At 49.7% G+C, this 19,864-nt stretch overlaps 1 protein-coding gene, 1 long non-coding RNA gene and 1 pseudogene across 4 annotated transcripts, besides 5 other annotated features; 1 reads left to right on the forward strand and 2 right to left on the reverse strand.

The window, feature by feature from the left end:
* LOC112268152 (uncharacterized) lies at nucleotides 1,273–14,879 on the reverse strand. Of its 2 annotated transcripts, none has more exons than XR_002957721.2 (3): nucleotides 14,479–14,879; nucleotides 8,632–8,729; nucleotides 1,273–2,018 (listed from the first exon to the last, which is right to left on the reverse strand). It is a non-coding gene; the product is annotated as an uncharacterized LOC112268152 (long non-coding RNA). The 2 variants fall into 2 exon arrangements; XR_002957722.2 differs by lacking the exon at nucleotides 1,273–2,018 and adding an exon at nucleotides 7,980–8,015.
* Nucleotides 1,301–1,504: a silencer, noted in NCBI's record as "fragment chr15:40602266-40602469 (GRCh37/hg19 assembly coordinates)". NCBI's record gives its function as "represses an EF-1alpha promoter that drives an FKBP-Casp9 reporter gene in an ReSE screen in phorbol 12-myristate 13-acetate-treated (for megakaryocytic differentiation) K562 erythroleukemia cells {active_cell/tissue: K562(+PMA)}" and the evidence as "EXISTENCE:reporter gene assay evidence [ECO:0000049][PMID:32094911]".
* On the reverse strand, nucleotides 3,513–4,598 carry RPLP0P10 (ribosomal protein lateral stalk subunit P0 pseudogene 10; annotated as a pseudogene).
* Nucleotides 12,088–12,605: an enhancer, noted in NCBI's record as "NANOG hESC enhancer chr15:40613053-40613570 (GRCh37/hg19 assembly coordinates)". NCBI's record gives its function as "activates a minimal SCP1, AML or CMV promoter by ChIP-STARR-seq in naive H9 embryonic stem cells {active_cell/tissue: H9 hESC(naive)}" and the evidence as "EXISTENCE:reporter gene assay evidence [ECO:0000049][PMID:30033119]".
* Nucleotides 14,616–14,985: a silencer, noted in NCBI's record as "silent region_6323". NCBI's record gives its function as "represses an Ori minimal core promoter by ATAC-STARR-seq in GM12878 lymphoblastoid cells {active_cell/tissue: GM12878}" and the evidence as "EXISTENCE:reporter gene assay evidence [ECO:0000049][PMID:35858748]".
* INAFM2 (InaF motif containing 2) lies at nucleotides 14,928–17,951 on the forward strand. 2 transcript variants are annotated; one of them, XM_011521149.4, is made up of 2 exons: nucleotides 14,928–16,724; nucleotides 17,631–17,951. In XM_011521149.4, the coding sequence occupies exon 1, from the start codon at nucleotides 15,292–15,294 to the stop codon at nucleotides 15,751–15,753; it is 462 nt and encodes a 153-aa protein (XP_011519451.1). In that variant the 5' UTR covers nucleotides 14,928–15,291; the 3' UTR covers nucleotides 15,754–16,724; nucleotides 17,631–17,951. The 2 variants fall into 2 exon arrangements, with proteins under 2 accessions (XP_011519451.1, NP_001288197.1); NM_001301268.2 differs by having other exon boundaries at nucleotides 14,928–17,951.
* Nucleotides 15,316–15,395: a silencer, noted in NCBI's record as "silent region_6324". NCBI's record gives its function as "represses an Ori minimal core promoter by ATAC-STARR-seq in GM12878 lymphoblastoid cells {active_cell/tissue: GM12878}" and the evidence as "EXISTENCE:reporter gene assay evidence [ECO:0000049][PMID:35858748]".
* Nucleotides 15,406–15,635: a silencer, noted in NCBI's record as "silent region_6325". NCBI's record gives its function as "represses an Ori minimal core promoter by ATAC-STARR-seq in GM12878 lymphoblastoid cells {active_cell/tissue: GM12878}" and the evidence as "EXISTENCE:reporter gene assay evidence [ECO:0000049][PMID:35858748]".
* Nucleotides 17,952–19,864: the final 1,913 nt, after the last annotated feature.

Here is a 19,864-nt window from a genome sequence, read left to right on the forward strand (position 1 = left end):
ACCCACCTCACCAGACTCCCACCTCTGGGCCTCTGGGACTGCCTGAGGCCTGGACCCCCACTGAGCAGCCCTAGCCCCTGCCTCCACTGCGCTCTCCTCTCTCCTCCGTGTGCCCGCCTCTGCTGTGTACCCCAGCCTGCAGCGGGGCTGGGGCGGAGGGATGGCTGCTCTGGTTGGCCAGGCTCAGCCCCAGCTGCTCAGGTGCCTGACCCACACTCTGCCCCAGGCCCAGGGAGTTCAGCACCAGTCCAGCTCAGCCCAGCCCACTTCCTCTTGCCTAATCTGCTCCTCTTATCGCCCTTCTTAGCCCAGCCTGGGAGGCAGGGAGCTCTACCCAAGACTTCCTTCCCCTCTGGGGCCTGGCCTTTTGCCCTGGGTCACCCCCCCATGGGGCTTTGCATACCCCCAACAACGGTAAGACCCTCACCCAGGCCCTAGAATTGTCGCGGCTGGAGGTCTGGTCCAGGGCAGGGTGGAGGGTGAGGGAGGACACTCTTCATGCGGAATTAAGATAATAAACTGCCCAGTGGAGGCTGGAGCTAAGGGAATTCCCAGCACAGAAATAATCTGCAGAAGAGCAATTCTAGGGCCGGGGGATGGAGCCGGAGCAGGGCCTGACCAAGCCTCTGGAAATGGTAACAATTCAGAGGACTCTTCTTCCTCGTTTCCCCCAGTCCCTTAGCGTCATCTCTCCTCTCTCCCTCCCTCCAGTCTGGGGCCCTTCTGGGGGCCCCTCTGGCAGCCCATGCTGTTCTGGGTTCCTCCCTGGGATCAGGTTCCCTCGATATCTGTTTGAATGGATTTTGCAAGGGAAATCCCTGTCCCTTCCCAAAGCCCCTGCACCTGTCACCTGCGGCTGCCCTGGTCCCGGCACCCAAGTCCCTCCCTTTCATCTGTCCTGTAGCCATCAGCCCCCTCTCCACTTTGGGCCTGGAGAGACCAGTCCATTCCTCCCCCTCAGCCTGAGGAGGAAAGGGACAGCCTCCTCTCCTCATTTCAGGATTTCAGGGCTCCTCACTCTGTTCCTTTCCATCTCCAGCTCCGAATCCACAGAACAAAGCCTTGCCCATCTTTACTCAGTGATGTCACTGCCTGCACTGTTCTTGGGACCACAACTGTAGCTTCAGTGGGGGCCTGTACTCTCCTGCTCACATCCTGACCTCCTGCAAAGCTAGCTCCAAAAATGCAGAAAATCCAGGCAGTCAGGAGAGCGGAAAATCTTCATCAAAGAGCTTTTTGCTTTTAAAAATACATTTAGGTTTGAAAATTTGTGTTGACAAAGAAAAATGTTATGTAAATAATAGTAGAGAAAATCAGGGTAGTTACATGAATGCCCCGTTTGGGAAATGTGGCCTTGGGCTCCTGGGCTGAGCTGGGTAGAGGGCAACCCTGCAGTGGGCCAGTCTCACCCCTCCAGGGTGGGCAGTGGAAGGGCAAGGATGCCCCCTGCTGGGTGCACTCAAAGCATGCATGTCCTGGAAGTTGCGGTTGGGTCTGTCATTTGTGACCCACGGGAACACCTATGCCAGAGAGTTTGGCAAGTGGGAGCCTTGGGCCATAGAATGTGGTAAGAACTTATATTCAACCAAATGTTGCCTCCCACAAGGGACATGCTTGTGACCTGGACCCCAGCACATATGTCCCAAGTTCATTTGTTCACTTGCCAGTGCTATGTGGGAGCCCCATGCATTGGTTTCCCAGTTTGCTCATCAGAGAAGTTTAATGGCAGAAGTTGAACTCAGACCTTCAGGTGCCACAGCTGCCAGCCAAATAAGAGGATCAGACTAGGTCGGTTTCTTATCTGATGCCATGATGGTTGAAGCAGTGGGTTTCAGGAGTGTGGAACCCTGTTGTCCATCTTGGTCAAGGGCTGGCCCTCTTTTGGAGGGAAGATGGCTCTTATGGTGTCTGTTTCCCAGTCTGGCAAAGGGAGCCACACTCACCACTCTAGGAACCCAGCCACTTACTAGCTGGTTTATCTTGTGATACTTAACCTTCTTGGGCCTCAGCCTTCTCACCTGTAAAATGGGGATAATAATGCCTCATGGGGATGTTGCAAGGATTAAAGAATATAATGAATGGTACTTAATACAGTGCCTACACATGAGCTCAATAATACTATCATTATCATTATGAGTTATCATTGTTATTTTATTATTACTTATTAGCAGACACTGACAGGAAAAATGGCAGTTTCTTATTCCTTCTTCAACAGTTCTTTCTACAAACGTCTTCACTGACTTTCTCTTTGGATTTTTCTTCCAGCAGTTCGTGTGGATCAGGGGCTGTACCCACCTTTGCAGGGCAGACTGAGTTAGGGTTGCTCCTGTCTGTGGACTTGAAGCAAGCTGTTCCCAAGCGGCCTGAACTCATGAAGTGATGAGCACAAGGGCTCCAATCATGGGCAAGTGCCAGCCTCCCACCAGCTTCATGCCACCACAGCCCCCCAGCTGATGAGGCACAGATGAGAGTGCTGAGCTGCCCAGCTGTGTGTCCCTCTGTGGCCCCAGCTTCAGCCACCCTCTGTGTACTGAGAGCTAAGCAGAAGTGGAGGCATGGGCAAGGCTGGGTAGCCAACACTGATCCCTTAGGGAGGAGAGAGGCAATCAAGTTTCCTGTAGATGCCCAGGAGGAAGATGTTGCTTGTCTTCCCATTCCAAGCCCCTCTATAACCCGACAAGGAACCATCTGGGACTTAGAAGTGGAAAACAAACTGGGCATGGTGGCTCACGCCTGTAATCCCAGCACTTTGGGAGGCCGAGGCGGGTGGGTCACGAAGTCAGGAGCTCAAGATCAGCCTGACCATCATGGTGAAACCCCGTCTCTACCAAAAATACAAAAATGAGCCAGACATGGTGGCACACACCTGTAATCCCAATTACTCAGGTGGCTAAGGCAGGAGAATAGCTGGAACTGGGAGGCAGAGGTTGCAGTGAGCCAAGTTCACACCATTGCCTCCAGCCTGGGTGACAGAACGAGACTCCATCTCAAAAAAAAAAAAGTGGAAAACAATCAGTCCATGTATGTTTCTCTTTGAAGTGCTATTTTGGATCAAATTTACCTGTGTCCATCTTCAAGAAACCCAGAGTTTAGTCCCCACTGGAGCAAAGGTTTGTTCTGTGATCTTAGCAAGTTACCTGAGCCCTTGAATCTGTCAAACTTTTGATCATTTCTAAGAATCCTTCCAGCTCTAAAAATCTCTTTCCACTTGGAAGGGCCAATCTTGTCACTTTTCTCTCTTGCCTTTCCTCTGAGAGACAACAAACCTAGAGATGAGAGCTGTAGGTGGCAGGAGAGGCTTAGCTCTCATCCCAGTGTGACATTCTTGGGCACAATCACTCCTCTGCCTCTGTCAATCCCTCTGTGAAATGGGCCAGTTTTAATAAGTGTGATAGAAATAAATTATATGATGTCCTCCTCTAGGTGGGCACGGTGCATTGCATATAGGGAAGGTCATCAGTATTGATCAATTGCTTCTGTTCTTACTCCTGTCCTGGTCCAACCTTTTTTTTTTTTTTTAGAAGTTAAGCCTTTATTTCCTTGTTTTGTAAATAAAGCTGGCTGAGTTGGTTGTTTTTTGATGATTAGTCAAAGAGACCAAATCCCATATCCTCACCCAGCTCCTCCACCTCTTCCTTGGCTTCAACCTTAGCTGGGGCTGCAGCAGCGGGAGCAGCCGTGGTGGCAACAGCCACAGAGGCAATAGCCACAAATGCAGATGGATCAGCCAAGAAGGCCTTGACCTTTCCAGCAAGTGGGAAGGTATAATCAGTCTCCACAGAGCCAGGGCTCATTTGTACCCACTGATGATAGAATGGGGTACTGATGCAACAGGTGGGTAGCCAGTCTGCAGACAGACACTGGCAACATCGCGGACAACCTTCAGGAAGCAAGAAGGAAGTTTCCTCTGTGATGTCAAGCACTTCAGGGTTGTAGATGCTGCCATTGTCAGATGCCTGCTGGATGACCAGCGCAAAGGAGGAGGGAGAAATGCTCGGCGTGTTCAGCAGCGTGGCTTTGTTGGCTCCCACTTTGTCTCCAGTCTTGATCAGCTGCACATCACTCAGGATTTCAATGGTGCCCCTGGAGATTTTAGTGGTGATTCCTAAAGCCTGGAAAAAGGAGGTTTTCTCTGGCCCCAGACCAGTGTTCTGGGCTGGCACAGTGACTTCACATGGGGCAATGGGACCAGCACAGGTGGCAGCTGGCACCTTACTAGCCAGCAACATGTCCTTGATTTCAGTGAGGTCCTCCTTGGTGAATGCAAAGCCCACATTCCCCCAGATATGAGGCAGCAGTTTCTCCAGAGCTGGGTTGTTTTCCAGGTGCCCTCAGATGGCCGTGAGCATCATGGTGTTCTTGTCCATCAGCACCACGGCCTTCTCTCAGAGGGACATGCAGATCTGCTGCGTCTGCTTGGAGCCCACATTGCTGCTCCCACGATGAAACATTTTGGATAATCATCCAAAAGCTGGATGATCTTGAAGTAGTTGGACTTCCAGGTCATCCTGTCTTCCCTGGGCATCACGGCAGTGCATCAGGGATTGCCACGCAGGGTTTAAAGACAATGTCACTTTCACGAGGATGCCAAGAGAGAGTTTTTTTTTTTTTTTTTTTTTTTAATATACGATGTAATCTCACCCTGTTGCCCAGGCTGGTCTTGAACTCCTGGGCTCAAGCAATCCTCCCACCTCACCCTCTCCAGTAGCTGGGATTATGGGCATGTACCACCAAACTTGGCATCTGATCCACCTTTTTATCAGGACCTGGGCAAAGCCACAGAGAACAAGCCCCTCAACTTTGCGAATAGCAAGGAGCCAGCGAAGACAGGAATATGTTGGAAGACAGACTCAGGATCCAAAAACATTCTAACCTATTGGAGCACTGGCCTAAACCTCCCAAGGTGAAATGAACAGGGCTTAACTGAGAGATCTGGGCTTGGTGCCAAGACACCGACTGTACAAGGACAGGGTGGGGAAGTGGCAGCTTAGCAGAAGCATGTGTGAATAAAACTGAGGGTTTTCGCTGACAGCCAGCTCCATCTGAGTCAAATGACAGAGCTGCCAATAAAAACGGGCAGACTCAGGCTGCCGAACTGAAGTCGGGTACTGAGCCCTGTGGTTCTCCATCTTGATATCACACCAGAACCACCTGCAAAGCTCTGGTAACACTGCATATTCCTTGCTGTACCAAGACCCTCTGAATCGTGATCTGGGATGAGATGAGAGAGGGAAAGGAAGGTGAGGAGTTTGCATTTCTTTTATTTTTTTTTAGAGACAGGTTTCACTCTGCTACCCAGGCTGGTCTCAAGCTCATGGGCTCAAGCAATCCTCGTGCCTTGGCCTCCCAAAGTGTTGGGATTATAGGCATGAGTCACTGCGCCCAGCCAGGAGTTTGAGTTTCTAAAGAGTATCCCCCCTCATTCCAAGATGCATCCAGGGCTTTTGAACCAAGGAACAATCAGTCCCATTCTCATTCTCAGCACAACAGACCACACCCAAAATACTTGAGGAATTCAGTTTAGGTTGCTTTGTTGCAGGGAAGGTCATAAGTTGAAGGATATTTGGTGGAAAGCAGCCAGGATGCAGGCAACACTCTGAAGAGAACCACTTTATAGAAGACACAGGTGGCCAGGAGGCCCAACTTCACATGGATGAGTCTTGTTCTCTGAGGTCCCAAAAGTTAGAATCTAGGCCAGGTGCGGTGGCTCACGCCTGTAATCTCAGCACTTTGGGGGGCTGAGGGGGGCAGACCATCTGAGGCCAGGAGCTCAAGTCCCACCTGGCCAACATGGTGAAACCCCATCTCTACTAAAAATATAAAAATTAGCCAGGCGCAGTGGCACATGCCTGTAGTCCCAGCTACTCAGGAGGCTGAGTCAGGAGAATTGCTTGAACCCGGGAGGCGGAGGTTGCAGTGACCCAAGATTGTGCCACTGCACTTCAGCCTGTGCGACAGAGCGAGACTCTCTCTCAAAAAAAATTTAAGTACATATTTTTTTAAAGTTAGAATCTTAGGAGACTGTCTTAGGTCAGGTTTCTCAGGAAACATGCCGAGATAGAGATTTTCTTGTAGGAAGTTTATTGGGGGTGCTTTCAGAGATAACATCTGTGAACTAGTGAAAGAATCAGAATCAAGCCAGAGGAAGAAATTGGTGAACAATGCAGTCACAATACAGAATGCTTCCACAGGAAGCCCTGGGGTTGAGCTGGCCCCGTAGAGTTAGCCCCAACTTGGATAAGAGGGCTGTACCTTTGAATTCCACATTGACTTGGCAGATGACCCCTAGGGAAGGGTTGTGAAGTCCAGCAAGACAGCTCCCTTTAGCAGCTGAAGGAAATGCCAAGGGAGAGACTCATGTGTGAGCCATTGGCAGCCAACACTTCTGGCAACTTCAGGGATAAGCTCCTTGGTCCTAAAAGCAGTATCTGGGTGGTGCACCACAGCAACCGAGACAGTACCCCCAGGCATAGCCCAGACCTACTTGATTTATGTGGTAAGTTCACTCTACCTGGGAATAGCTCCTCCTGGATTCTGGGAAACTTACAAGAATTAAATGGAGAAACTATAGCCCCCACTACTGCAACTAGTCTTGGTGACACAATTGATGTTCATCATTCCCCTTCTCTGTCACTCATTCTAGATTCTTTTTACCTTCAACTTGCACCTCTGCTGGTGTAGGTGGCTTGCCTGTCGGGGTAACCAATCACCAATCACCATGGCCTTCAGACCATGCTGCTGATGTGTCCACCTTCCACCAAAATTGGGCATACCAACAGACACCCCAGTGGATCACCTGGGTGCCAAACATATTCTTTCCTGACCCCCTTATGTAACAGCAGCCCTATCTCTCCCAAAGGATGGGGGTCAGTTGCCCCTTCCAGGAAGTGACTCCTCTTCTTTCCTGCTGGTTTCTTGGCACAAAGAGTCTGACGAACAGAAAGCAGCCATACTTAAGTTTATGGGGTTCTTGTTCTGTCCCTGGTGGAAGTGCTCCCCCTCTGGGAACCAGATTCTCTGAACCTGGAGAGCTTGGAACTGCAGGAATGGGAACCACAAATTCCTCCAGAAAGGTCACTGGGAGTGATGGTAAGTGGAGTCATTCCTACTTCTACCCCTAGTTTCCTAAACCTCTATTCTACACGTTGACACATAGCACCATATATAACAGTTATTGATTAGGATGCATACCTCATCCTGGAGCACGGTGTCCCATCATCTCTAACATGGTATTTCAGCTGTGCTTCTAAAGGCTGTTCTATCATTCCACCAGCTCTATTCAGCTTCTGGATGGTGAAGTATGTAATAGGCCTAAAAGATCCCATGATCATGTGCCCATTCTATCCTTAAAGTGGGACTCTTGGTCTTCTGCAATGGTATGTGAGATCCCACGTCAGTGAATCAAACACTCTTTTAGCCCCCAGAGAGTGGCCTTTGAGCAGAAAAGACAAATCCATATCCAGAATATATGGCAATTCAGGTCAAGATGAGTCCCTCACCCTTCTGGAGTGGAACAGGTCCAAGGTAGCCAGCTTGGTACTGCGTGGCTGGTATCAGTTGCTGGCAGGTTGGACTTTTAGCAGTGACAATAGGTAATTGGCCTTGGTGAGTGGGAGCCCATTCTGTTGAGCCACCCCTGCCACCACACACATGCGACACGTGTCACCTCCATCTATGCCACCATGGCCACTTTATTCATGTGCCCATTGTGCTGGCATGGGGTGGTCAATGACAGAGGCAAGCTAACATCAATTCCACATCATTCTATCTACTTGATTATGCAGTCTCCCCTGTGGCAGGTGCTCTCTGATGAGTATTAACATGCAATATAAAGATCTTCAATAGTGAGACCTATCTCTACAAAAAAAAATTAGCCTCGTGTGGTGGTGTGTGCCTGTAGTACCAGCTACTCCAGGGTCTGAGGTAGGAGATCACTTGAGCCCCGGAGGTCGAGGCTGCAGTGAGCCATGATCGTACCACTGCACTCCAGCCTGGGCAACAGAGCAAGACCCTGTCTCAAAAAATAAAAAATAAAGATACTCACACTTGGTGCTCACTCAAATAGATAAAGCCACATATCTCTTCCCAAGACCTTCTTGTTCCCAGTCTTCCAGTATTTCTCTTTCTAGCCCTCTAACCAACCAGTCAAACCATTTGCCTATAGCTCATGAGCCTGTAGACAATTTTACCTCAGGCCGCTTTACCAGGGGCCATGCTGATGATTCAGTTCCCAGTCAGGTATCAATGTCAATGCAGACACTGCATCCAGCAGACCTTAAAGCGTTTGACTATTCTACTATCCCCAGTGTACAGTTACCCAGGTAAACGGCATAGTTCCCTTTAGGGAAGTAGTGGGGAAATCATTACTGTATTGCTATAGTATTGCAGAAACCTTTCCCCTGGGAACCTGAACTGAAAATTGAATTGGGACTGGAAACCAAACAAGATATTGTGACTTTTTATTGGAGCAGCTGCCATCAACCTCCTGGTCTTTCATCCTTGATTTATTTTAATTGTACAGCTCAGCAATTCTCAGTGTGTGGTCTCCAGACCCCTTGGGGTCCCTGAGATCACTTCAGGGGTTTCACAAGGTCAAAATTGCTTTCATAATAATACTAACATGTTATTTACCTTTTTAACTGTGTTGTCGTTTGCACTGATGGTGCTAAAGCAATGGTGGGTAAAACTTCTGGCACCTTAAACAACCAAGGCAGTGACACCAAACTGAACTAGTAGTTCATTGCAGAAAGAAAGAGGAAAGAAAAGAAAAAAAAAAGGAAGGGAGAAAAGTCGTTTTACTTTAGAATATCTTTAACAAAACGATATCAATTGTTAAATTGTATGAAGTTATGACCCTTAAATAGATGTCTTTTTAATATTCCATGTGATTAAATGAAAGTACTCTACTGCATATGGAAGTATAACGGTTCTCTTGGGGAAAAGTACTTTTGCGATTGGGTCGTGAGCTCAATTAGCTGCTCTTTTCATGGAACACCAGTTTTACTTGAAAGAAGAACTGAAAAACCATGGCTATGCAGACTTGGCTATTTGGCAGATGTTTTCTCACATTTGAACCAAGTGAGCCTGTCACTTTGAGAAAAAAATAACTGATAGTGTTTGTTACCAATTACAAAATTTGAGTTTTCAAGTAAAAACTAGAATTTTAGAAAACATGTATGCACTATCATGAGCTTCCTAGATTCCTGATACTTAAACTTTTTATAATATTATCAAATGTGATTTTTTCTATTATATAATGAAATGTATCAATATTGCAAAGATATGTTTAATTCAGTGAACCAATATTTTCCAAATGATCAACGTGGGATATTATAAAATCATGCATGGGTAAAAGTGCCATTCAAAGGGCAAGTTAGATCAATGGACTTTAATGTAATTGAGCACAAAAAAAGTTCACTGATATAGTTTTATAGTCTACATTTCAACCACCATTTAAGAAAATACTGCTTGTTGGGTTTTGGTGTAGCATCAAAGAAAAACAGCCACAATTATCTGAAAAGGCTGTTAAAATGTTCCTCTCTTTTCCAACTACATGTCTATATGAGGCTGGATTTTCCTCATATATTTTAACCATAACAACAAATTGCCAGCAGATTAAATGTAGATGCAGATATGAGATGCCAGGCATGTTGGCTCATGCCTGTAATCCCAGCATTTTGGGAGGCCAAGGCAGGTGGATCACTTGAGCTCAGGAGTTTGAGACCAGTCTGGCAAAATGGCAAAACCCTGTCTCTACAAAAAAATACAAAAATTAGCCAGGCATGGTGGTGTGCATCCGAAGTCCCAAGCTACTTGGGAGGCAGAGGTGGGAGAATTGCTTGAACCTGGGAAGTGGAGGTTGCAGTGAACTGAGATCACGCCACTTACACTCCAGCCTTGTGACAAAGTGAGATCCTGTCTAAAAAAAAAAAAAAAAAAAAAAAAAAGTGGATATGAGGATCCAGTTGTCTTCTACATTCCAGAGATTTGCAAATTTACAAAGCAAAGCCACTCTTTTCATTATTTTTTGTCATAAAAATATATTATCTGCCCAGGTGCAGTGGCTCACGCCTGTAATCTCAGCACTTTGGGAGGCCGAGGCGGGTGGATCACAAGGTCAGGAGTTCGAGACCAGCCTGGCCAACATGGTGAAACCCTGTCTCTACTAAAAATACAAAAATTAGCCGAGTGTGGTGGCATGCACCTGTAATCCCAGCTACTCGGGAAGCTGAGGCAGGAGAACTGCTTGAACCTGGGAGGCGGAGGTTGCAGTGAGCCGAGATCATGCCACTGCACTCCAGCCTGGGCAACAGAGTGAGACTCTGTCTTGGAAAATAAATAAATAAATAAATAAATAAAATATATATTATCTATGTTAACATGTAGTGGGGCTTATTATTCTTTAGACAAATTAATAAATATTTTGCAAAACCCTTGGTCTTATTTCTAATATGTCAAATAAAAATAGCTATAACCCACATAAACAAAATCCCTTTAGATACCTCTCTCTCTCATATATACATACATATATATATATTTAGAGACTAGGTCTCACTCTGTCACCCAGACTAGAGTGCAGTAGCATGATCATGGCTTAGTGCCGTCTCAAACTCCGGAGGTCAAGCGAGCCTCCTGCCTCAGCCTCTCGAGTAATTGGGACTACAGGCATGTGCCACCCTGCCTAGCTAATTTTCAACTTTTTTTTTTGTAGAGATGAGGTCTCACTATTTTGCCCGGGCTGATCTTGAACTCCTGGGGTCAAGTGATCCTTCTGCTTCAGCCTTCCAAGTAGTTGGGATTATAGGTGCGAGCCACCACATCAGGCTTAGAGACCTCAATATTTAAGAGTGTAAAGGGATCCTGAAACTAAAACATTTGAGAATCACTGGTATAGATAGAGCAGTACTGTTACTGGCTGCCTAGCTAGCTTGCTCCAGGGATGCTATGCTATCAACCATCTTCAACCATGGTCCTCTACTGGCCAGGACTGCCCCCACTGCCACTCCAACTTGCTGCTTATTACAACAGTTGTGCTGTCTAGCTTCTATGATTTCATGGTCCTATCATCCCCACTGCTATCTGGAGCCAGTTCTGGAATGGCCTCTTGCTGTCAGGCATGGCTTACAGAGGACAGTCCAAACTCAGCTTCTCAGGGATGCTGGTACCGCTCTCACCAGTGTGTTCCTTGTTGCTTTGGTAACTAGAGTATCCTCTGGGCCTTCCTGCAGAACTTAAGTGGTTTCTGGCCTTACATAGAATATACCCATTTCTGTGAGCTTTTGAACCCTTCTTCCACATTCTGCTGTGGTAGTTCTGGCATTTCCATTACACTCTGGTGGCCATTGCCTTCCTCCTGTCTCCCAGGATCCTTGTCAGGATATCACATCCTGATTCACAGGAGAATACTCCTATAACAACGAAGTATCCCTTGTTCAACTTAATGTGTGGCACCACACCCCACCTTGATCTAGCCTATACATTCGCTCCTGGATCCTGCCAGTATATACTGGCTACTTCCGCAACTACTTCATGGTCTAGCCTTCTTCCCTAGTGGGCCCCTGCACATCTCTGACTGGGCTTTATTGTGATCTGGCTCTATGTATTGGGCTTGTAGGCCAGGACAGAGAGGCAGCTTCCTTTGGTGTCAGAAGGCAAGTCCCAGTGACAGTTGCAGCTGAGCCATCATAGCCAACACTCCTGACAATTGGAAGAATGAGCACCTCCCTCCTGAGGCTGACCCGGGTAGTAACCCCCAATATCCACTATAGAGACAAAGTCTAGCTTTGCCTATGAGACAGAGCAGAACCAGGATCAAGAGCTTAATGCCCTGGAGTCAGAGGTCTGAATTCCATCAGGGCTTTTGAATTCCAAGGCATTAGGACTATGTGACCTTGAGCAAGTTCCTGGCCCTTTCTGAGGCAGGGACTTCATCTATGAAATGAAGATAAACAGTACTACCTGATAGGTCATTGGGAGACAAATAAGACAAGGAATGTAAAGGCTTGGTATAGTGCCTAGCACATTCTAAGGGCACTGTTATTGTCATAATTGGTCAGAACTTTCCAAAGCCAAAAAGGGCTGCCTCAGGGAGCAGACAGTAAGGTATGCCACCATCCCAGATGGTCTTTGGGCTGACGCTGCTGAGTGCTCCCCAGGGATTTTGTGGAGGAGGCTCTAGGGCCCACAGGGGTATTCACAAAAGATGACTTTTGGGGCCCATTCTGTCCCCAAGCTGCCTTGATTCTCTGATTTCTCTGATCCCTGCCTGTTCTTAGTGGGGGGAGGCATATTCACTTTCAGGCCACTAGGGGGCCATTTAGTTTTCTGCAACAGGAGAACACTAATGGTTTCTTAATGGCTCAGGCACCGGGGAGATCAGGCTCAATTATATCTGAAAGCATTCTTAGTTCCTGGGGTAAAAGACACTATGTAAATCCAGACAATAAATAGGGATTACTGATGACAGGTTAAAGAATCTGGCACTGTTTCGTTTAGAAAAGACAGAGTGAGAGGAATTGAATAAAGGCTTCAAGTATATTATTCTTTGGTACAGAAGAGTGACATGCTGTTTTCCCACTCCACTAAGAACCAAGCAAGAAGAAAGGCATTTAATTTGCAACAGAAATATGGAGAAGCAATATGGAGTGCATTCACGAAAGGGGACTGAAGGAAGCTTTGTATTGGCCTCAACCTGGAATCTTTAAGAATAATTCATCATGGAATAATTGTATGATATGTCCTGCCAGGAAGGCCCTAGAGCAGGGGAGAGAAGAGAGGACAACTTCCAGAGACAATTCAAGAATTGTTTTTTTTTTTTTTTTTGAGACGGAGTCTGGCTCTGTTGCCCAGGCTGGAGTGCAGTGGCGCCATCTTGGCTCACTGCAAGCTCCGCCTCCCGGGTTCACGCCATTCTCCTGCCTCAGCCTCCCGAGTAGCTGGGACTACGAGTAGCTGGGACTACAGGCACCTGCCAACACGCCCTGCTAATTTTTTTGTATTTTTAGTAGAGACGGGGTTTCACCATGTTAGCCAGGATGGTCTCAATCTCCTGACCTCGTGATCCGCCCGCCTCGGCCTCCCAAAGCTGGGATTATAGGCGTGAGCCACCGCACCCGGCGACAATTCAGGAATTTTAAGTCAACAGGCTGCCCTGGCTGACCTAGGAGCAGGGTGGAGGAGTGAGTTATTTCTTCCCCATCAACCCACAAAAGGCCATAAACACTCCACACTACCAATATCCTTGAAATTTCTCAGAAAGTAAAAAAAACAGCTTTTTCCTTGAAATAGCATCTGGCTAGCCATTACTAGTGGCAGCCCCACACCTGGGCCTGGATCAGGAATGAGACTGAGGCTGGGTTAGAGGCCTGTGGTTCCAGCAGTCCACTAGCACACTCAGTTCTGGTAGCCACTTGACTTCTGTGCTGCTGAGGTGGGCAAGGCAGCTGTTTTGGGAGGGCTTCCTCGTGTGTGTGTGTGTGTGTGTGTGTGTGTGTGTGTGTGTGTGTAAGGGGGGTCCTCTGGAAGCCAAAGATTCCTGGAGGAGGGGGGGAAGTGAGAAGGGCAGAGGGGATCCTGCCCCACAGGGTAGAAGCCAGGTCAGGCTCACACTTGCAGGGGCTTGAGGGAGGGTTCACCCACAGAACCCCATCAGAACCACAGTTCTGTTCCCCAACACACGCCCAGACAAGTCTCCCTCACTCATTCAGACACCCAGGCAGTCCATATGCCCAGTTCTGGGAACACAGGAAGTAGCATCCAAGGAGGAGGGAACCAGAATTCTGGAAAGCCTTATAGAGAGGGAATGGGGAGGAGAGAAGGCAGGGAGAGCAGAGAGCGGAAGGAGGGGGAGGGCACAAGTAAAGCCGCAAGGGAGAGTCTGAGCATGAAGGGTTGTTAGCACCTAGGGGGTCCAAAGACCAGGCACAGAGCCCACTGCCTGGCGCCTGGCCTGGAGCCAAAGAAGACAAACCTCACATGGGAAAGTGGGGAGGGGACAACCGCCCAAGCCTTGAGGTCTGGAGGGGATCTGAGAGTGAAAACGCTCTAGGAGTCCTGAGAGTTAAACTCCTCAGGTTCAGTGCAGCTCCTTGGGTCCAAATCCAGGCCAAAACCAGGAATTGGAAGACCCAAAAAGCGGGACCAGCGACCTGCGGCGAACTTTGGGACTAAGGTGGCAAGCGAGTCTGGAGAACAGCTCAGTCCGTGGCTCTGTCCCGGAGGCTCAGGGTTGGCGGGGTGAGGCGGGCTGGGGTACGCAATTGCGACGACTTCAGTAGAGCTCCGAAGCCCAGCCTGGACTGGGTGGAAGGAACACAACCAGCTGCGGCCCCAGTGAGCGCTCCAGGTGCCAGAACCGCCTACCCCTGGCGTCAACCAGGTTCTTTAGCTGTGAATGGGCCTGGGAGACCCACCCAGGGGGTACGCGGTGCGGGGAGCAAGCTGAGAGCTGGAACGTGGTATCTTCCCTATCCCTCTTACCGTCCCCTCCCAGAGGATAAACCTAGGCCTGGAGTCCGAAGCCCAGGCTGCTATTCCACCTGTCACTTCGGAGCCTCGGGGCGGAGCGGGGAGGCGCCAGAGTTGACAGCTCGCGCTCCGACCGCCCCCTTCTAGCTCCGCACTCCGCCTCGCACAACGCCGTTCCCCCTTTTAAAGAAGTGCCCGGGGCTCCACTCTACGCCGCGCCAGCCCACCAGGGGTCGCGGTGACGTCGCCCGTTTAAGAGCCAGCCTCCCTTAACTCTCTCTTAACGGGGCGTCCCGGCGGGGCTCGCGGCTCCCGGCAGCCGCCGCCTCCCCTCGCGGCACTTCCGGACCCCGGCGTCGCCCTTTTAAGGGGCAGCCCCCAGCAGCGCTCTCCCCGCCCCCTGTTGCCGGCGCGCGAGGCGGGGGAGCCGGGCTGGAGCGGAGCGCGCGGTCCGCGCGGCCACTGGAGACCAGGCGGCCGGCGGCCGGGCAGGCGGCGGCGGAGCGCGCGGCGGCGTGGCGGCGGATGGGGACGCGGAGCCGGGCGGCTGTGGCGGCTGTGGCGGCTGTGGCTGTGGCGGCGGCGGGGAAGCAGCTGACGGGCCGGCGGCGGCGGCGGCGCTGGCGGCGGTGACTGGTCCAGGCCCCGGCGGCGGCTGCAGCAACGCGGTGGCGGGCTGCGGGCGGGCGGCGTGAGGAGCGGCGGCGGAGCGCGGGGCCGCCGGGAACCGAGGGCGCCGGGCCGCCCCCTGCCCAGTCCTTGCAGGCCGCCAGGCCCCCTCCAGCCGGGGCCGTGGAGCACCGGGGCAAAGGCCGGGGCCCCCCCATGAAGGAGCGCGACGCGGCCCCGGCCGAGCGGGGCAAGCCGGCCACCTACACCGGGGACAAGAAGGCGAAGATGGCGGCCAAGACCAACAAGAAGTGGGTCCGGCTCGCCACCGTGTTCGCCTACGTGCTCTCCGTGTCGCTGGCCGCCATCGTGCTCGCCGTCTACTACAGCCTCATCTGGCAGCCGGTGGGCGCCGGGACCTCGGGGGGAGCCGCTGGCCCGCCCCCCGGCGGCTCCAACGCCACTGGCCCGTCTGGGACTTCGGGGGCGGCGGCGGCGGGGCCCAACACCACTGGGTCGTCCCGCCGCGAGGCGCCGCGCGACGTTCCCCCACTGCAGGCGGCGCGACCGGCGCCTCCGGAGCCCCCTGCGGACAGCCCCCCGGCCGGGCCGCTCGAGCGGCCTCGGGGGCCGGACGAGGACGAAGAGGAAACGGCGGCGGCGCCCGGGAGTCGTTGAAGCCCTCCGCGCTGGGGGCCGCCGGGAACCATTCTCCCCAAGCCCAGAGGCAGGACTTCGCAGCAGGATGGGGTGGAGAGCCCGCGGGAGTGACCCCCACGAGAGTGAACGCCCCTCACACTCCCACCATCGCCGGCTGGCCCCGGAGCGGGAGGCCCGCAGCCAGATCTTCAGCCAAGGGACCACGATTCGCCGGGGGGCTGGGGGTTTGCTGCCCAGGACCGTGCTGCACCAGGGCCCTGAGCCGTAGGGGGATGGGGGGAGGGGTGGGGAGATCCCGGCACCAAACCCTTCTGCGCCGCTCGCTCTGGTGTATCCTACATGCAGGGGTGACTGGGGCTTTCCCCCAAGACTCAGGGGAAGGATGGAGCTGTAGGGGCTCTTTTTAAGTAAGCTGAAGCTCTCGAAAGGAGGAGGGCACCAAAAGTAGTGGAGCTCAGGTACGTCAACCTAGTTGCAGTGGCCAGAGATGCATTAAATTTCTAGATCCCTGTATATAGTTGTTGACATATGCACTAGAAGCTATAATCACATAGAATTCTATGTATATCCTCCCACACCCTGGGTAGCTACTGACTGAAGGGGTCAAGCAAGGGCTATTTGCTGTCCCCCAAAAAGTACACCTGGCCAGAAGGGCACAAACACGGCTTCTTAAATCACTCACTTTCTCCTGTTCCCCTCCTGTTTCTGAAATATAAGTTTATGACGTTCTTTCACAAAAGAGTATAATCATTCTTAGACTGTTGACATGGCTGTGGAAAGCCTTAGGAGAAGTAGAAACAATTTAGGGAGGGTGGGGAATGTACTCATCCCCTCTTCTTTCCATCCTAGTGCCCCCACCAAAGAGGCTTCTTGTTGCAGCCCTCAGTATCTGGATATGGGCCAGGGAGGAAGGAAGGGAAAGAGCAATGCTGCTGTGCTTCAATCCTGGCCTTCCCCTCACAGAATTCTTTTAGGAAGAGCAAGCTTTTGTAAGTAGAGTGGCAAGTGTTTTTATCTTTTTTTTTTTCCTGCTCCTCAAAATGTTGTCTTGTTCCGGCAATCACTTTTGCCTTCCCTCTTTCCTGAGCCTGTAGTGACAAAGCCCGGCGATTTGGGATGAAATCTGTTGTAACACCAGAGCTTTGATTACACATCCTCTGGTTTTGAGTTATTCTACAGAATCAGAAAGGCTGGAAGGTGGGCTTCACACTCAGGATTGTGCTTTGAGAACCAGCTAATAGACCAGCCGAGGGAAGGTTGAATTGGCTGTCTTTACTTTTCCCGATAAGCCCTACTTAAATGCAGCCTGTAATTGTATAAAGGAGATGAGAAACATCAAGAGAAATGACATACATGTAGCTCTGGGGTAGCAAGAACTAGACTTCCTCAATTTGGATTCCATTTCCTTCTGCCATTTGCTTTTAGGCAATTGAGTGTGGGTAGTGATGAGATATCAAATCCCTTAGTGTTTCCATTTTGGGAAATGAGGCACTATTTTTTTTTTTAAAAGACAACTTACCCACCTGAGTCCTGAAACAGTTTGTCTCTCCAGTTTTCTGGCCTATACTCTAGTTAGCTCTGATCCAAGTTTACAGGACAACAGCCTTGCTTTAAGCCATGTCCTGTTGTGGGCACGATAATAGCAACTGAGCTGTCACAGCCTACCAGCAGGCTGGTAACACCTCCAGGGTCTCTTGGCTAGAGCAGATTTCTTAGCAGCTGACTAGGACTTCAGTCATTGGGAAGCCTATGAGGCCTTTACATTTTTGGTGTGAGATGGGGAAGAAACATAAAATGCCACTTTACAACTTCAATAATAGCCTGTAATTTATATTTACTGTGTGAATTTTTAGTCCTATATTTTAATAATTTGTAAATTGATCTCTTATTCCAAGAATCCTTTGAACTTGTAGAACATCTGGGAGTCCACTTCCCTGTCCTCTTCCTGATCCCTGCTTTCTGGACTGTTTAAATCCTCTTTGGGATGGATCAGAGAGTCTAGAGAGGCCACTCATAGGTCCAGCTGCTGGCCTCCTGACTCTCCAAAGCCTTCACTGGAATTGGGACATTTGCTCCAGCCCTAGCTGTGAACATGACCAGAGACATTATTTATAATTCAGCCATTTAAGATATACCTGTACTCAAAAAGTCCTGTATATTTTTAAAAAGTTTTATTTTTCAGGTGAACAAAAATACATCCTAAGAACTCTGCCTAAGCCTGTGTAAGTTGATCATTTCTCTTACTGTGCTTCGTGGGGACGGAGTAGAGGTTGGAAGAGTAAGTGGTCTGAGGTGTGATGGATGGATGGTGATGAATAGGTTGAGGAGGAAAAAGCAATTGCCCTGCTGTTCTCAGTGCCTGATGGCTTGAATGAATTGATTAGCGAAGGGCGGCAGAATCCATCTTAGTCGGGAAGCAATCCCGGGGTGGAAGAACAGTGATCTCTAGCTCAGCCACCTTTTGCCAACCTTAAACAGGCTGAGAAAAAGTTGTGCTTTACCAGAGCAGATGCCTAGCTGACAAAGCTAAGGGACCAGTAAGCATGAATATTAAGATTTACTGCAAACATTTAGCTGGCTAAGCACTGAGGTGAGGATAAGCTGCCTGATAGCATCACTGTCCTCACCTTTCAACCATTGGCCTCTAGATAACTCAAGAAGTGCTAACACCAGAAAGGCAAGTGTACATCTGTGGTGCTTGGTCAGAGCTTTGTCTACCATGGAGGAGGTAAATGGCTGAGAGGTTTAGGTTGCTTCAAAGGTGAGGTTTTTTTCTTCCCTTCAAGCAAACAAAAAAGACATGTGGGTGAAAGGCACAAATATAAGGGATTAGTTATGCTGCAAAATATATGGTAAGCAATTGAGCTCAGCTCATTATTAGACAATACTGCCCGGTACAAATCCGGAGTGAGAAGCCAGTGTTGGTGGGGCCCCCTGAGGCCTGCACTTCAGCAGAGCCGTTGGGGGGTAGCTACTGTTCTTTTACATTACCTTGTAGTCTGCAGGGAGGCATGGAAAAAGTCTGCCCTTCTTTTATTTCCCTCTTCAGCCTACACAATGGCTTTCTGAGAGAGGGCTTGGTAAGGTAGAGCAGAAGGGGAGTGAAAGAGTTTCCAAGGCTCTTTTGGTCGGCCCCTCCTTTTTGCAGACAGTGACATGTGGCTTCTACAGCTGCCCACGGCGGCTTCACATGTTGGGCACATACAGCAATATGTACAGTGGGAGCCTGCTAGCCGACGAGACAGGGCCTGGTTGGCTGAGGAGCAGTGGTCTGAATAGCTTTATTTCCAAGGGTTAGAAATCAGCTGCAAAATTGTCCATCAAGTTTTAAGCCAGGAAGGAGAGATCTGTGCAGAGGGGGTTACTTTCCTTCAAAGGCTTTGCACCGGGACTACCAGGACCCTTTCTAGGTGTTTGCTTATATTAGAAGTTAACGGTGTGCATTCATTTATTCCCTGACGGCCTGAACTTGAAGAAAGAGATAAGCCTGTTTTGAAAGTGAAGTTTTGGGGGGTGGAGGATCAGGGAAGGAACCCATTAGGCTGAGTTTGTGAGGGTATCTTCACTTTCCCCATTAATGTTAAGGTACAATGAAGTGTTTCTCTGAGGTTTTAAGCATAAGAAATATTTCTCTTCCTAACAGCCCTAGATTTCCACATGGTATGAGACCATGTTTTGGAAGCTTTTCTGTCTACCTTGTTTTTTCAGTTTTCACTGGGGAATTCTGAGATAGCGTGTTCTTTCGTGGAGTATTTATATCCTGTCTTGAAATGCTGAATGCATAGCATCTACTTGTTTCTACATGTTTCTTTAAGGAGAGCTGAAAGGTCAGGTCACAAGCTTTAGGACTACCACAGCTATGTAAAAGGGGTAATAATTGTCCTCTCTTTCCTGTCTACAGAGAATGGAGGTATTTCTGGAATTTCAGTTCAGTAACAAAAGGGCCACAGCTATACTTTTCGTTTTCCATCTCCCTCAGTGGAAGGAGAAACTGCAGTGGCTTTGCCTGTTTCTCATGACCAGTACTCACTCAGTGCCTGGCAGTGGGTACTCAGAATTTGTTGATCTCTGAGTTGATCAGCACCCAGTGGGTGCTGGGTGCTGATGGAATCAGCCTTAGTGTCATTGT

This window comes from Homo sapiens, chromosome 15, assembly GCF_000001405.40.
Source record: "Homo sapiens chromosome 15, GRCh38.p14 Primary Assembly".
Taxonomy (NCBI): domain Eukaryota; kingdom Metazoa; phylum Chordata; class Mammalia; order Primates; family Hominidae; genus Homo; species Homo sapiens.